A 16,597-nucleotide genomic window follows, 5' to 3' on the forward strand; every position below is an offset into this window, starting at 1 on the left:
TTTGCCTTGTTTAAAGAGAATTAAAGTTGGCGGCTTTGAAGTAAGTATGATTCAGAGTTAGGGAAAGAAATGTAAAATCAACAACATCAACAACAACAAAGTCCCATACTCACAACAGCTACAATGTGACACCAAGCCCAGATGCCCTCCCCCTTTCAAATGGAATGGCTCCTGGAAGTAGGTCAAAATGCACCACGGAGAAACACTTATGGCCCTGAGATCCACCCTCCAGATTGCGTGGCCTCTAGGATACACTGTCCACTATAGCATTTTCAACCCTGAGAATTTAGGAAGTTACTATTCATATAATAATCTACTTTATTCCAGAATCCAGCACACCAATTTATGTAGTTTGACCACCAGGTGGCAAAAGTTGCCTAAGGAAAACTATCCAGCTGCTTTAAAGAAAAAAAAATGAAACAAAACAAAGAAAACACCTTGGGCCTTACACCTCTCCTGGCTTATTCTGACTCTATATTAACCCAGAGTGACTTCCCTGTCATTCATTTGTAGTCCCATAGGATACACTATCGCCATAAGAACTCAGGTTAATTTATTGGCTTAAATTTTTTGAGAGGTAGGCTAATAGGTAAGGGTACTTAGGACAAAGAAATAGGGAATCTACCCTAGTTAGAAGGAAGGAAATCCCAAAGGCAACAAAATCAGCATAAAAATCACCATGAATGAGACTAGGAGCATGGCTAAATCATTAGCTGCATCACCAGGAATTTCTGGAACTCAGGAAGCTGCAAGACACAGTGGAGGAAGCACTGGTTTGAAGTTAGCCCTCTGTTCAAATCCTGACTTCCTACTTGTATGTAGTTGAACAAATTATTTAAACTTTCTAAGTCTTGGTTTCCTCATCTGTAGAATTGGGATATTGGGATAATAGTATCTTTGTCATAGGCTGATGTTTATGTAAGTATTAGTTAATGTACTTGAGATATAGCAGAGCAATATTAAATAAATGTTATTTTCTTCCCTCTTCCATTCACTCCAATTGCCTCCTCTACCAATCCTATTCCATTGATTACTTCCTTTTCGACCCACCTCTAGATTAATGAAAAGGGTAAGATGACCATTAGTCAATACTAACTTAACACTTATTCTCTCATGTTATCACTTTCTTAAAATTTATTTTTTCTTTTTTTATCCAATTTTGGCCCATAACCACTTATTTTTTAAATGTTTTTAAAATTATGAAATATAACACACAAAGAAAAGTGCATGAAACACAAATGTTTAATACAATGAATAATTATAACAGTAAAGTCTCAGCACTCCAGACATCTTATGTGTATCATTTAACAAGCACAGCCTCCTTATTAAACTTTCATATTAATTCTAATTTTTTTGTGTATTGTTCTGAGTTTTCTACATACACAGTATTTACAAATAATGATGGTTTTATTTCTTCCTTTTCAAACCTTATGCTTTTATCTAAAAGAGAAAAAGTCTTGCTTGTTGGCATACACCTCTGATGCAATATTGAATACAAGTGTTTATAGTGGATATTCTCCTGATCTCAAAGGGAATTATTTCAACTTTTCACCTTGATATATAAGGTTTGTTGTAGTAATATGAAAAATAACATTTATATGATTGAGTAGTGTTTCTTCTCTTGCTAGTTTAATAAGATTTGTTTCATAAATTGCTACAGAGTTATACATGCTATTTCTGCTCTATTGAGATTATATGACTTTTCTCACTAATGTGTTAATTGATGTTATATTGATTTTACAATGTATATATTTTCCTTCTATCCCTGTTATAAATGCAACCTGTTTGTGATATATGATTATCATTTAGTATATGTTAGATCAGTTTTCCTATGTTTTATTTAGAATTTTTGCATCTATGTTCGTGAATGAGTTTAATTTAATGAATTACTTTAACTTTCAGTTGTACCACTATCCTTGTCAGTATTCTTATAAAGTTTATGCTAGCTTCATAAAATGAATAGAGGAGGATATGCTACTTTTCTATTTTCTGGAATAATTTTTGTTAAGATTAGAATTATTTCTTTCTTAGTGTTTGGTATCAGTTACCAATGAGATCATTCAGGCTAAGTGTGCCCTATTTGGGAAGATTTTTGATTACTGATATAATTAATTGGATATAAGACTACTCAGGTTTTCTATTTCTTCTTGGGTCATTATTGGTAAGTTATTCTTTTCCAGTAACAGCCCATTTTACTTTCACATTTAGTCAAAGTTGTTTATATTATCTTGCAATCTTTTAAATTTCTGTAGAATCTGAGGGAAGTCTCTGTTTCTTTATTCCTTATATGATTTTTATTCCTGATATAGTTTTATTCTCGATAGAGTTATTCATGGGTTTTTATGATTAACCTTATATAAAAGATTTATCAATATTGTTAGTCTATTCAAAGAACCAAGTTTTTGCATTTTTGTTCTTCCTATGTTTCTATGTTTTCTATTTCATTGACGTAATTTTCATCTATGTTTTCTATTTCCTTGATTTAATATTTTTTGTTGTTTTCCTTCTTCCACTTTATTTTGATTTATTTTGTTTGTCTTTATCTAACTTAAGGTTGATGTTTAGTTAATTAATCTTTAGCTTCTTTTAGAAAAATATTTATTTAAAGCTATAAACTTCTTTTGGAGTACCTCTTGCATTAGCTGCATTCTATAGTTTTGATACTCAGTTTTTCATTATCATTTGGTTTGAAATATTTCCCAATTTCTATTGTAATTTTTCCTTGACCTAGGTGTTAAATTTGGTGTTGTTTAATATGTTAAATTTGGTGTTGTTTAATGTTTGACCTAGGTGTTAAATTTAGGTGTTGTTTAATATGTTAAAATAAACCTATAATCACTAAGACGCTATGGTATAATGGAGGCCTTAATATAGGCATATACATAATTATAAAATTGAAAGAAAATAACTAATGCCATAACGAGAGTGTAGATTAATTTTTTTATTTTTCTTTATAGAGGTGAGGTCTTGCTATTTTGCCCAGGCTGGTCTTGAACTCCTGGCCTCAAGCAATCCTCCTGCCTTGGCCTCCCAAAGTGCTGGGTTTATAGGAGTGAGCCACAGCACTTCACCAGAAGTGTAGCTTAATTATGACCCTGGAATGCTAAGAGAGGCATTTCCATATGGACACATCCAATAAGACTTCATGGAGGTGCCACTGAATCCTAGTCATAGTCAAAAAGAGAACTCAGGGTGGAGGATATATTGTGAGGGAAAGGTACCACAGAGATTGAAAAGAGCAGGCTGTGCAGAGTAAATAGGCCTAATTCTGTTGGGCTAGAACACAGAGTGTGTGAGCAACAGCAAAAAGATGGAAAAAGGTTTTGGGAAAAGTAATTTGATACTACTGGAGAAGTAGGCCAAGGAATTGTGTTCTATTTTGCAGATAGTAGGAAGCCTTTGAAAGCTGTAAGTAGAGAAACAAAATAGCTATATTTTACACAGATTAATCTGACAGTGATGTGTAAGGTAGCTCAGTATAAATTTAGACCAATATCCTTCTTTTGCACCTCCTCATATAGCACTAATATAGCACTGTTTTTAATGCTAGTCTACAATGACAGTAATAGCCTGAGCCATAAGTGGGAGAGGAGGGGAAATGATGTTCACTGAGCATTGATTTTGAACCAAGCTCTGTACTGGACATTTCATTCTGTTTTGCAGATGAATGTTTATAATTTTTAGCACACAATCACAATAACTGTGTAACACTAATGATGAAAGTTTTAATGATGTTTGCTGTGCTAAATTTACTAAGGTTAAGTGTGGACTAAGAGGAATTAAGATATTTTTAAAAACAAGGGTTGAAATAAAGAGAACTTATGGAACAACAATACTCAGTAAGAAAGTTTAATTAACCAAATAACTTAAATTCAAATAATGCATCTTAAACATTTTTTGATTTATGTGTACTATAATAGTGTCTTACACACACACACACACACACACACACACACACTTTAACTTACCCAGAGACTCATGTTGGGGCTGAGCCTTCATGATGCTCTCCTGCTCTAACAGCTGTCTATTATCAGGGACTGAGAGTTTGAGATTATTCAAGTCAGAATGCTTCATATTGTTAGCATCACACTGACTAGGATCTGAAGGTTCTCGGTTGCTTTCATTATCTTGCACAGACATTGACAAATTCTGATCCACAAATAGTGTTCTGTCTTTGATTTTAATATCTATTCAGTGTAAGGAACATCCATGAGATACAATATGAGAAAAATTGACGATCATAAAATACAAGAATGCTTTCCATTCCCTCCATGCAGTGTACCTGCTTTCTGCTTGGCCTCTTGAGTATTCATTTTCATGACATATTGCTGCCTTATCTGTTTAGCAAATCTGGCAGGGTTGTCCCACGGTATGTTGAACATTTCAGAATCTGACCCACACATCATCCCAGAAGGTTTCAGTTTCCCTTTTTCATCAACCTCAGAGAGCTTCAGGCTCTCAAAAGTAAACACCTTGAAGGCTCGTTCTACTTCATTCCAGCTCAAGACATCTGTAAGAAAGCAGAACCAGTGCTGCTGGAAATGTTCTTATTAGCACATGGTACAGGGTTGACAGAGGGATAACCAGGGAGTCTGTCTACCAGAAAGACAAGAGAGTCACGCCACAATGGCTGTTGAGCTGATTTTAAACATTGGCTCCCCAGTCTGCCGCAAATATCAAAGGTACCTGAGGATAAGCAAACAACACAGTAAAGATAAAATTTAGCAAATTATAATGCTCCCAAACTGCTTCATAGCTCAATCAATATTAGGTGTCCAGATTCATTTGCATGGACTTTCCAGGGTACCATATTGGTTGAATATGCTTACACAACTTATTATTTTTGAGTGAAAGCACCCTTTTCTCCTGTTGTAATTTAAAACAGAGAAATTATTTACTTATGCCTAATATAGGCTATTATATTGACTGAGTTTTTCTATTGATTTGGGCTCAGGAAAGGCTTCCTCCTGTGCACATAAACTGCTGCAGTATTTTCCATAATTGCACTTCAAAGTTTATCAGCTTTCAGCAGGCTTTATAATTGTGTATTTACCTTTTTACAGCATTTATTCACTTGCTCACTCTTTCATTGGTTATTATTTTCTACGTATTAGGCTTTGTCACAGGTGCCTGGGATTTGAAAGAATCAAGATTTGGCTCTTACACTTTAGAAGTTCCAAGGTAGAGGAAGGAGAAGTAGAATTAACAAATAAACATGGAATTCAATCAGAAAAAAATAAAATGATGCAGATCAATAATTCAGAAGTAACCTCCATTTTCTCTCCAGCAAAGATGAGAAAAGCAGCAGGTCCTTTGGGAAAAAACAGGGAGATTCAGAAGAGAGACAAGGAAGAGGTAAAAGAGTTACAGAAGGAAGGAGAGATTGCTCATTTGTTCATTTCTCAAATATTTTTTGAGCCCCTATTAGGCATCATTAACTATAATGAAAGCTGGGAACACAATGGTGAACAAAATAGTGAGCTCCCTGCTCTCATGGAATATCCATTCTAGTCGTTGGAAACAGATAAATGTAAGAGATAAAAGAGATGACAAAAAGAATAAAGCCAGCTGAGGGGACAAAAAGTGATAATAGTCAGGGAGGGGCTTCTAGTTTATATAAAGCAGTCATGGAAAAGTCCTCTGAACAATTAAGCAAAAATGTGAAGGAAGTAGGGGAGCAAGCTGTATGGATATCTGGGGGAAAGTGACTGAGGAAGGGAAAACAGCAAATGCAACGATCCTGAGGCAGGGGTGTGACTTACATGTTCAAGGAATCACAGTGAGGCCAGTGTAGATGAGGGAGAATGGAACATGACAGCTTGATAGGTGATGGCTCAAAAAGTAGGTGGCAGACAGTTTAGGTTCTTATTGTTGCTTTTTGTTTTGTTTTGTTTTTTGAGACAGGTTCACCCAGGCTGGAGTGCAGGTGATTCTCCCACCTCAGCTTCCCAAGTAGCTGGGTCTGCAGGCACGTGCCACCACACCCGGCTAATTTTGTATTTTTTGTAGAGATGGGTTTTGCCATGTCGGCCAGGCTGGTCTCAAACTCCTGAGCTCAAGTGATCCACCCGTCTCGGCCTCCCAGAGTGCTGGAATTATAGTCATGAGCCAAGCACCTGGCCCAGTTTAGGATTTATTCTGGGTGACTGCTGCAGAGTTTTCAGTTACAAAGGCACATGATCCAACCAACATTTTAGAAGGGCCATTCAGGTGGTTGTGTGGAAAAAAGACTGTTGGTAAAAAATTGAAAGCCTGTAGACCAGCTGGAAAGCTATTGGAATAGTCCACTTGAGGGGTGGTGGGGGACTGGGCTGGGATGGTAGTGAGGAGTATGGTGGGATTGATTGCAGTGTGTGAGAAAACAGAGACAGCGGTGGGGCGCGGTGGCTCGCTCCTGTAATCCCAGCACTTTGGGAAACCGAGGTGGGTATATCACGAGGTCAGGAGTTCGAGACCAGCCTGACCAACATGGTGAAAGCCCATCTCTACTAAAAATACAAAAATTAGCTGCGCATGATGGCGTGCGCCTGTAATCCCAGCTACTTAGGAAGCTGAGGTGGGAGAATCGCTTGAACCCAGGAGGTGGAGGTTATATTGAGCTGAGATCACACCACTGCACTCCAGCCTGGCGACAGAGTGAGACTCTGTCTCAAAAAAACAAAAACAAAAACAGAGACAGCAGGGATGACTCCAAGGTTTTCGATAGAAAGTAGTTGTCATTCATTGAAATAAGGGAGATGGTGAAGGGACAAATTTAGGGATGAGGAATCAAGAGCTTGGTTTTGGACTTGTTAAGCATGATGTGGCAAAAGGGAAAAGAGGAAGAGGGGAGGAGCACCAAGGGTCCAGGATGGGGCATGTAAGCAGCATATGTGTGAGGTTTCAATGGTGGCAGCAGGAACAAAAATGCTGTGCTGCGTAGAGAGCTGAGCTGAAGGGAGAATGGAGTCACATCTTAAGCCAGAAGGAGAAGTGGAGGGTGGCAGGACACAGAAAAAGGACAGAAGTTCACCCCCTACTCAGGAAGGGGGTAGTTATGTGCACAACAGAAATGACATACCAGGCCCTCGAGGCTATACCCTGCATGTCCAGGAGTCAATGGTAGGACTCAGAAGTTCCTGGCTTTTTCTATTACTAAGCCTACTTAAAAGTGGAAAAAGAAATCAAGATAAAAATATTTTTTAGTTCGGTTAGGCTTACAAAGGAAATGGTAAGGAAGAATATGCACATGCTCTTTTCTTTTCTAGGTCAAATGCTTCCTTGTCAAGTAAAGATGTCTGTGGAAGTTAATGTCCTTTCTTATAGGTAGTATCTACATATTCCCTTAAGTGGGAATGAGAATTTGCTTTGGGAAATGACTGCCTATATCACAAAATCCCAGTGAACTCAGATGAGACGTGATTCTAGATATTGTATCTTAATGACCCCTCTTCCCACTGTCTTCAAAGAGCATAAAATGGCTCTTCCTGCTGTGAGAAGCTGTTAGCTTGAGTCAACTCCTGCTCAGCAACATGCTGACAGTGGGCTCTCTATTCATCTGTGTATCTCTAGGTGCAGAGCGGGTGCTTAAAATTGCAGATTGTACCATCAGACTTCTGAGGTGGCTTTCTTCCTGACTCCTGCTCAGTAATGTAAGGAAATTGTGTTCTACTGGGTATCCAGAGACCAGAATGTTTTCTTTTTTTTTCCACCACTGTTATAATCCTAAAACAAATAATTTAACCCTGCTAGGATCTCAGCTTTCTTATCTGAAAATAGATTTCGATTAGATTAATTCCAAGGTTTCTTTCAGTTAGGAAATTTTATGGTTCTATGATTCATCTTTCTAGATACAAATTTAATTTCTGGTTATAAATAGTGTGCTCAGAATTTTCTCTCAAGATAGGATTAAATATGAGCTTCCAGTAGCACTGGTTACAAGATATCTACATCTGCCTCCCAAGTCACACTCTTTCTTAGTTCCTTCCTGTCCTCATGTGCAGAGATGGTCCACGGTAGTGCTCACATTAGTTTTACCCTGGTGAACATTCCTGCCAAATTCAGATTATCTCGATCCTCTTCTTTTTTTTTCTTCTCTAATTAAAAAAAGAAAGAACTGTGAAAGGACAGAATGGAAAGAGACAGAAGAAAAATTCTTCTGGAACCTGTGTTTTATTGATTGTGGGTGGCTGCAACAAGAGGATATAAGATGAAAATTCAAAGACAGGTATCGCTGAATTGGAGCAAAGTTGCATGGTCCAGGTTGCTCTTCCCTCTTTCCAGATAATGTCTCTGCAATGTTACTGTAATTTTTACATGATTTGCAATGATGATAAAAGAGTGCAGTGGTCAGGCAGAAGACAGAAGGACAGCATTGTCCTGGAAATTATATGCGTGCATGCGTGCGTGCATACGCGTGCGCGCGCGCACACACACACACACACACACAGCCCTTTACTTCTCTGTAAGTAGGATGGGATTACCACATCATCTCCAATGACGTCAATGGGAGTATTTGGGACAGAGATGGGGGAAAACGAGGAAAAAAGGGAATTATTGTGGTTAAGAAAACACAACGGGAAAAAAACCCCAGTGTATCAAATTGAAGAGTGTTATGCATTATAGCTATGATAACATTGCTAATGACATTATTCAAACAAGAAAGTTGTAGTCAATCAAAATACCCACCTTAGCCTCTGAAAGGTCTTTCAATAATGAAAATACTTTTTGTAAATAAGGGTGTAATTTTAAGAGGCATATATGACCATTAATTAAATTGAGTTTAAGCTAAGACAAAGCAATGGACTCACCACTCGTACAAAAGTGCATAAGCTCATGAATTGTAGCTAGACGTTTAGTGTTGTTCCATGGTGGGGGTAGAGGGAATTGAAGAAATTCCCACAGTGGCAACTTGGACTGCATCTCCTGCTCAATTTGAACTGGATCAAAATTCTTTTGGTCCTGATGAAAAAGAGCAACATGACAGAAGACATTAGAGTAAGCTGTTAAGTGCCTTATGCATATGGAGAAGGCTAAACATGATACCTTCACCCTCATTATTTGGGAACAGGGGAAATCAATGGTAATTGGGAAAGACAAACTTTTGGGATTTTGCTGAAGGTCAAAAAGCTAGTTCCTATGTTGCCAGGATTTCCTGGTGCACAAAAATGACTGATTCTTCATTCACAGTGACAAACTGCCAAAGTCTCATATATATTCATCTCTCTCTTTTGAGATCCTTTTCTGGCTTCTACTAGTTTTTCATAGCAGCAGATATTTGAAGCAAATAATTATAAGGTTTTAATGAAAATTTAGTGGTGGTAACAATTAATTGAATTGTTAATTAGACCTCAATAATCAGGCAAATTTCCTCGGCTGACATCATTTTTCTCTGTATCTAGGTCCATTTTCCAGGTCCTACTTTGTATGCAAGTATCTATTTTGTACATTACATTTTAATTAGTGTTGATGAAGTTATCTAATTAGCTTCTTTCAACTGAATAGTTATAAACACACTTTCCCACATCGGTTTTCCTTGGGCTAACCTGATTATTATTACCTGTAGTGCGTACTTCTTGTGGGCGTGTGCATCATGATAGTTCAGTAGGAGGGGGCCTTTGGGCACTGCTTTGCTTTCATTTTCTTCTTCAGATAAAAATATGTCATGAAGATTCTATGCAAATTGAAACAATATTGATTTAAAGAGAGGATCTATACTTTTCCAAAGCATGAAGACTCTGCTATCTCAGGCTATCTGACCTTTTTCTCCCTCTCTGAGAGACAGAGTGAGGGCAGAAGGGACACAATGTGAGCTGCGATTCTGTGGTCTAGCCCGTCTGCTCTGGGGGATGGCTCCCGCAGACTGGGTGGGACGAGATCTTCTTCAGTTGCAACAACCTGTTGAAATCAACAATGAGAGGAATTGGTGTAAGGGTCCGCTCTTTAGTGATACTCACTGCTCATTGCTGCATTCCCACTGCTTAGTAAGAACCAGTCCATTTCTGGGACCCAAGTACCACTGATGACACAAAATGGCAGGAAACTATCAGTGATCACCAAGTAAAAGGAAAAGTGTTCGCAATCCATGCATTAAGGTAGATATAAATTTAATATTTCTATTAAAATAGATAACATGAAAATGGTAACAATAAGTTTTTGATAAAAATATTTCATGAAGATTCTAGTCAAATAGAATAATAACATTTTTTCTTAATATTTACTCTATCTTAAAGCAGTGGAAAGAGTGCTCATATAACTTTGGATTCATTAAATATTTATTAAGTGTCTATCACAAGCCAGGTACTATGTAACACATCTTCACATGTGATCATTTAAGCCTCACAGCAATCTTGTGGGGACAGATATTATTTTCCATTGTATAGAGGAGAAAACTAGGGTGACTGGCCAAAGCTCAAGGATATTGAGTGGAAGAAACTGGGGTTCAGGCCCAATCCTCATTCTTTCTTCAAAAATAGAAAAGTTATTAGATTATGAGATCAGTAAATGTAATAGTGTCTCCTTTAAGTGGGGAAAGTGAGGTCTAGAAAGATTAAGTGCCTTGTTCAATTTTTCATGGTAAACAAGTAAAAGAGGTTGAAACATAATCAAGTTAGGCACCTAATTTACAGCTTTTCCCTTTACCCTATATCCTATAATCATCCTCTATGATTTCCTATCCCTCTACAAGTTTCCTCAGCCTTGGCATTAATGACATTTTGGCCTAGATAATTACTTGTTGTGGGGGGTTGTCCTGTGCACTATAGGATGTTTAGCAATGTCCCTGGTGTCTACCCATTTTATGCAAGTAGCACCCTTCCAGTTGTGACAACCAAAAATATCTCCAGACATAGCCAAATGTCCTCTGGGAACAAAATCACTTCCTGTTGAGAACCACTGCTCTAGAATAACAAAATTGCATCCTATTCTTTACCTTGTAGAAACACCCTACTGTCAGAAGAGTCACTCACTGTTTCCACTTTCTATCCTCTGATCATTTCTTTGACCCACTTCAATCATAAAAGATCACTCAAATCTGTTTCTTCTCTGAAATGTCCAATTCTAACATCCCATCCTATAAAGTATCATCCCATCACTCCTATATTTCAGTTTTTTCATCCCCTTATTATTATTAAGCCTTCGTTCATTCAACATGGATCTACTGGTTGACTTCTATTTGTTAGGCGCCGAGCTCATTAACTGTCTTCTTTGGTACCTGGAACATAGTAGATGGTTAATAAATGTTTGTTGCTTTAAGTTTAGTAAAATAAAACAAGAAAGGATAAGATAAATAAAATAATGATACTGCAAGTTCTAGAGAGCTTTTGTACTTTTATCATTTATTGATATAATAAAACTATTGATCTTCTAAAAACTTCATGGAGCAATTAAAGGCAAATATTAGTGTGATTATCTAATTGGTTAGAAAACTAAGACAATCAAAAACCAGAAAAATGTATATGGGAGGTATCAGAGATGATAGAGTCTGAAAAGGACTTTAAAATAAACCTTTTATGTATTAACAGAAAAAATGTGTCACATCCATGCACTAAAAACAAGAATAGGCAATTGTAAAAAAAAAGTAGAGAATTTACAAATTAAAAACATTACTGCCAAAACAAAACTTCAATAGCAGACTGGACTCCCTGAAGAAAGCATTAGTAGGAAGTTAAGCTGGAATTCCCAAAGGGATAAAATTGAAAGAAAACTTAAAAGACAAAGAGAAAAACCCTGAAACTCCAACACCCATTCAATAATAATTAAGGTAAATCGATAGGAAAAATGATATTTGAAGATAGAAGACTTTCTTAGAATCTTCTGAATTTAACAAATATGTATTTAGTGTCTACTATGGGTTAGGTGTGGTTATTGTGTGCTGAGCATACAGCAACGAACAAGACTACATTGTTACTGCTTGCATGGAGTTTATATTCTAGTAGGAGGACGGGGAAGGGAAGAAAAAAATAGCTGATCAATATATTGCAAAAAGAAAAGCTGTTGATAAGAAAATAAAACAAGGTGATGTGGTAGAGAGTGCTGTGTGTTGTGTGGGGAGAGGGTTCTTTAGATCAGGTGGTCAGAGAAGGCCTCTCTAAGGATTGACACTTCTACTGGAGACCCTCCAGAAAGAGAGAAAGCTTTCTAGGCAGAGAAGGTAGAGTAAAAGGTTAAGATAGAATTAAGCAACATATTTGAGGAAAAACCAGAAGGCCTATGTAGATGACGTGTGTGTGTGTGTGTGTGTGTGGTGGCAGGTAGGAGGTGAGATGACAGGTACATCTCAGAACCCTATTTTTAGGGCCTTTATGGGACAGTGTAAGGAATTTTTATTTCACACAGAATGTGACTGGAAATCAGATGATAATTCCCTTACACCATAAGGACAAGTATGATAAAATCATACCTAGACATAGTCTTGTGTTATCAATTATAAAGAGAAAACCCTAACAGCTGCTAGAAAGAAAAGTAAAGATTATCTTCAAAGAAAAAAGTATCAGATTGACATCAGACTTCTTAACAGCAACATTAAAAGGAAGACGACAATGCAGAAATGGCATCCAAATACTTTTCTGTGCAGATTCACTAGGTTTTAAGTCATTTCTGCTACTTATTACTTGAACAAACTTGAAAAACTTTTTGTGCCTCAGTTTCCTTATCTGTAAGATGGGTGATACGGTTTGGCTCTGTATCTCCACCTAAATCTCATCTCAAACTGTAATCCCCACGTGTCGAGGGAGGGAGGTGATGGGAGAATGAGGGTGGTTTCCCCCATGCTGTTCTTATGATAATGATGGAATTCTCATGAGACTTGATGGTTTTAAAAGTGGTAGTTTGTTCCTGCTGTCTTGTGAAGAAGGTGCCTGCTTTCCCTTCTACTATGACTGTAAGTTTCCTGAGGTCTCTCCAGCCATGCGGAACTGTGAGTCAATTAAACCTCCTTTGTTTATAAATTACCCAGTCTGGGGTAGTATCTTTACAGCAGTGTGAAAATGGACTAATACAATGGGGGATAAAAACAGTTCCTACTTCATAGGATTGTTCTGAAGATTACATGAGTTAACATATTGAAAGCATTTAGAACAGTGCCTGGCGCCTGTAAGTGCTACATATGTGCTACTAGTATGAATCACAAACTCTTTCAGATACACATAGAACCTTCACAATGACCATGTTACATCAGGTCACACAGGAAGCCTCAGGAAATTTGAATTTGCTAACTTGCAGAAAATGCCTACTGATTATAATGTTAAAAAATTAGAAATCATCAGTAAATAATGGAAATCAAAATAATTCATGGGTTAAACATGTAAATAAATAAAAGATTTAGAATTGAATACACTGAAAGCATCAGGATGCAAACAAAGAAACACTCGAAAAGAAATGTATAGCCTTAAATAAAGCAAAAAGACTAAAAATAAATGAAGTAAGCTTTCAATTAAAATGAAATACAAAATAAATCCAAAGAAAGTAGAAAGATGGAAATGACAGAGATGAGCCAGACACGGTGGTTCATGATTATAATCCCAGTGCTTTAGGAGGCTTAGGTGGGAGGTTGGCTTGGGGCCACGAGTTAAAGACCATACTGGGCAACATAGCAAGGCCTTGTCTCTCCAAAAAAATTATTTTAAATTCGCTGGGCATGGTGGTGCATGCTTGTAGTTCTAGATACTCAGGAGGCTGAAGTGGGAGGAACACTGAGCCCATGAGTTTGAGATTGTGAACTATGATTGTGCTACTGCACTCCAGCCTAGGGGACAGAGAGAGACCCTGTCTTAAAAATAATTAAATAAATAACAAATATATAAATAAATAGATGAAGAAATTAATGAAGAGATTAATAAAATAAAAAGTAAAAAGGTGTTGATCAATGAAACCAAATCCTGGTTCTTTGAAAAGACCAATACAATAGCTATGCCCTTAACAATCATGATCAAGAAAAGGAAAGCACAAATAAATAACATCAGTCATGAGGAAAGGTACATGACCAGATACAGAGGAAATTTTAAAACATATTTAAGTGAATAGTGTAAAGCACATTGTATCAGATTTAAAACTCCAATAAAATACTTATTAAGACATATTCATTAAGAAAAAAGCTGATGACAAAAATTGGCCTCAGAAATACAAAAATCTAGTTAAATCTACAAGCATGAAAGAAATTTTAAAGATAAAGACTATTAACAACCTCACCCACTTGTCCATGTTCTCTTCCTTTTCCTCTTCCATTAAAATGACACCAGACACAGAGTATTGAGGATATGTTCTACCAAAACTTCAGGGAATGTTACATAAATGGCTTCAGAGCATAGCAAAAGAAAAGAGAATTGAAGCTGAAGATTTAAGCAGACTTTAGTTTCATCTGAACTATTCTAATCTTTATAAAGGAGAATGCACTTAGGTATTATGAGTATAATTTTAAAATAGTGTAAAAATAACAGAAGCCAGGAAAGATGAAACGACTTACTCAAGTATACAACCTGGGAAAAAGCCTCCCCACCTGTTCCAGCATACAATGCAGTATCAGGGGCACAGAAATGAATTCCTCTCGAATTGGATTCAGCAAATAATTGTAATATCTCATGTCTACTTCAGTTGTGATGACTGAAGTCACTGTAAAATATAGAAAATACCATTGCCCAATTAAGTTGTGTTCTCCATTATTTCCATCAAAATTTCATGCATAATTTCAAACTATGACTATGCACTAATAAATGCAGGAGCTGTAGGTGAAGGGAGGCTGAAAGTAATATGGAGGGCAGTCATTATCTCTTAAAGTGCCAGCTCATGGTGTTGATCCTCCAGCAGCCGATTTCATACATGCCTGGTGGTGGAGCTTGCGGTTCTTCATACTGTGCTTTCTTCTTTCCAGGAGCTGGTACAGCAGGTTGTGGAGCCTAGAAAAAGAATAATTAAAAAGAAACAACTGAGATACCCAGCTGAGAGATGCCCTCATCAAATGCTGGTATGATGAGATCCAACAGGATACTCAGGTTGTATAATTATGTTCACACCACAAAATCATCTGCTAATATTAGAACCAAAGGAAAAGAGTTTTGCTTGATGAAGGAAAGAAGGTAATGGTATAGACATTATTCAGTTTTTCCTACCAGAACCCACTGAGCAATTGTGGAGAAAGTGATGGGGTGATGGGGCACTGAGCATCAAACAGGTTTTTCTTTTTTCCCCTGGGTGACTCAGAGTCATCCCATTCTCCCTCTCCCAATCCTTCAGCAGTTCTCCATTGCCTACATGATATAAACCAGACTCTCAACTTAGCACCAAAGGAGATTCATGACCTGGCTCCTGCCTCTCCAGGTTTAGTTTCTGTTGTTGTTCTTCACTTTGCACATGCAGCCTGGGATCACTGAACTACCCTGTGCTCCTGGCTTGTGCCATAATACTGCTTTTCCTTGACCTCCATATCTTTGTACATCTTTGCCCCTGTCTTGAGAATATCATTATATCCCTTTCCCCTATCATGCTTTCCATTAGGCACTTCATACTCATCTTTCCCCACATCGCTAATCCTGGTTCAGTTTTCCTGACTTCCCTCTCTTTGCTCTACTCCTGTTTAGATCAGGTGACCAAGTTTATTTCTTCTACTGCAAGCTGAGATGACTGCTCTCAGCATTCATCATGCTACGTTGAAATCATTGTTGACTTGACTGCCATCCTCTTTAAAAGTTAACCTCAATGAGGAGGACAGGGAATGAGTTTTCATTATTGTATTGCCAGCATCTTGCACAGCTCTAGCACATAGCCAGGTGCTAAATAAATACTGCAATTACTTTGTCAATATCTTTCCTGTCACAGATGTTATTCATTGTACCAAGTGCTGACAAGAAGGTTCCATCCTTGCCTTTGTAAATGTCTGGTAGTTGAGGAGCTTCACAAAGCCCCCATCATGTAGCTATCTTTTATGCCAGTAGGCAGTATGACCTTAATGTAAGTATTTATGTAACTTTTTCTTCATATGCCTTATAAATATGAAAATAAAGTTGTTCAGTGAATCATTCATCCCACTAAAGACATTGAGCCCATGCCTACCTCTGAAGTTGGCATGGCTTCTAATACAGGTTTCTCATTAACCACTTGTGGAACATTAATAAGCTGCATGCTTTCCAAATAGTGCTGGTGCTGCCTTTTCCAATCCAGGATGTCATACATCAAGCAGGCAATATTTTCAAAAATATCAGTGCCCAATTTCAGCTACAAGTGAGAGATTTAATGGCAATTGGTTACTAGTTTTACACTGTTGGAATCAGATATATGGTATATATCTCTTAACAGTTATGCCCATCAACTTTATACAGGAAAGCAAACCCCTAAATCTCCAAACCACTGAATCCCAACCATGGTGACCCCATTTATATTCCTGAACCTTTCTTCTTCTTCTTTGTTTACCGCAATATGGACTGTTTCCTTTGGAGGGCCGTATGGCTGCCTAATGTTTTAAGAGCCTAATTAATGCTTCAACTAAAAGAAATATAACTGAGTCATGAGTTTCAGCAGTGTGGCCTGTATTCTTAGTATCTCAAATCCTAAACACGTTAGGTAACTTTAATATCCTCAGCCAGTGACAAGCTATAGATGATTTCTTACCTGGCTATGCAAGGAACAC

General features: G+C 37.4%; 1 protein-coding gene across 10 annotated transcripts in view; it reads right to left on the bottom strand.

Moving 5' to 3' along the window:
• The window catches only part of SPAG17 (sperm associated antigen 17), a 231,639-nt gene that overhangs the window by 123,543 nt on the left and 91,499 nt on the right, over positions 1 to 16,597 (bottom strand). For 7 of the 10 annotated variants that reach the window (XR_946574.2, XM_006710427.4, XM_006710426.4 and 4 more), the window contains 8 exons: positions 16,024 to 16,185; positions 14,798 to 14,870; positions 14,474 to 14,586; positions 9,739 to 9,876; positions 9,539 to 9,652; positions 8,790 to 8,940; positions 4,283 to 4,510; positions 3,969 to 4,187 (listed from right to left, as the gene is read on the bottom strand). Coding sequence is in view for 9 of the 10 variants with exons in the window: in XM_006710427.4 (XP_006710490.1) it covers positions 3,969 to 4,187; positions 4,283 to 4,510; positions 8,790 to 8,940; positions 9,539 to 9,652; positions 9,739 to 9,876; positions 14,474 to 14,586; positions 14,798 to 14,870; positions 16,024 to 16,185 (1,198 nt within the window). In the remaining variant the exon portion in view is untranslated. Of the gene's footprint in view, positions 1 to 3,968; positions 4,188 to 4,282; positions 4,511 to 8,789; positions 8,941 to 9,538; positions 9,653 to 9,738; positions 9,877 to 10,946; positions 11,192 to 14,166; positions 14,426 to 14,473; positions 14,587 to 14,797; positions 14,871 to 16,023; positions 16,186 to 16,597 lie in introns of those variants that run through there. The other 3 variants (XM_047448734.1, XM_011540936.3, XM_011540937.3) reach the window with 3 other exon arrangements.

Source organism: Homo sapiens, chromosome 1 (genome assembly GCF_000001405.40).
Source record: "Homo sapiens chromosome 1, GRCh38.p14 Primary Assembly".
Taxonomy (NCBI): Eukaryota; Metazoa; Chordata; class Mammalia; order Primates; family Hominidae; genus Homo; species Homo sapiens.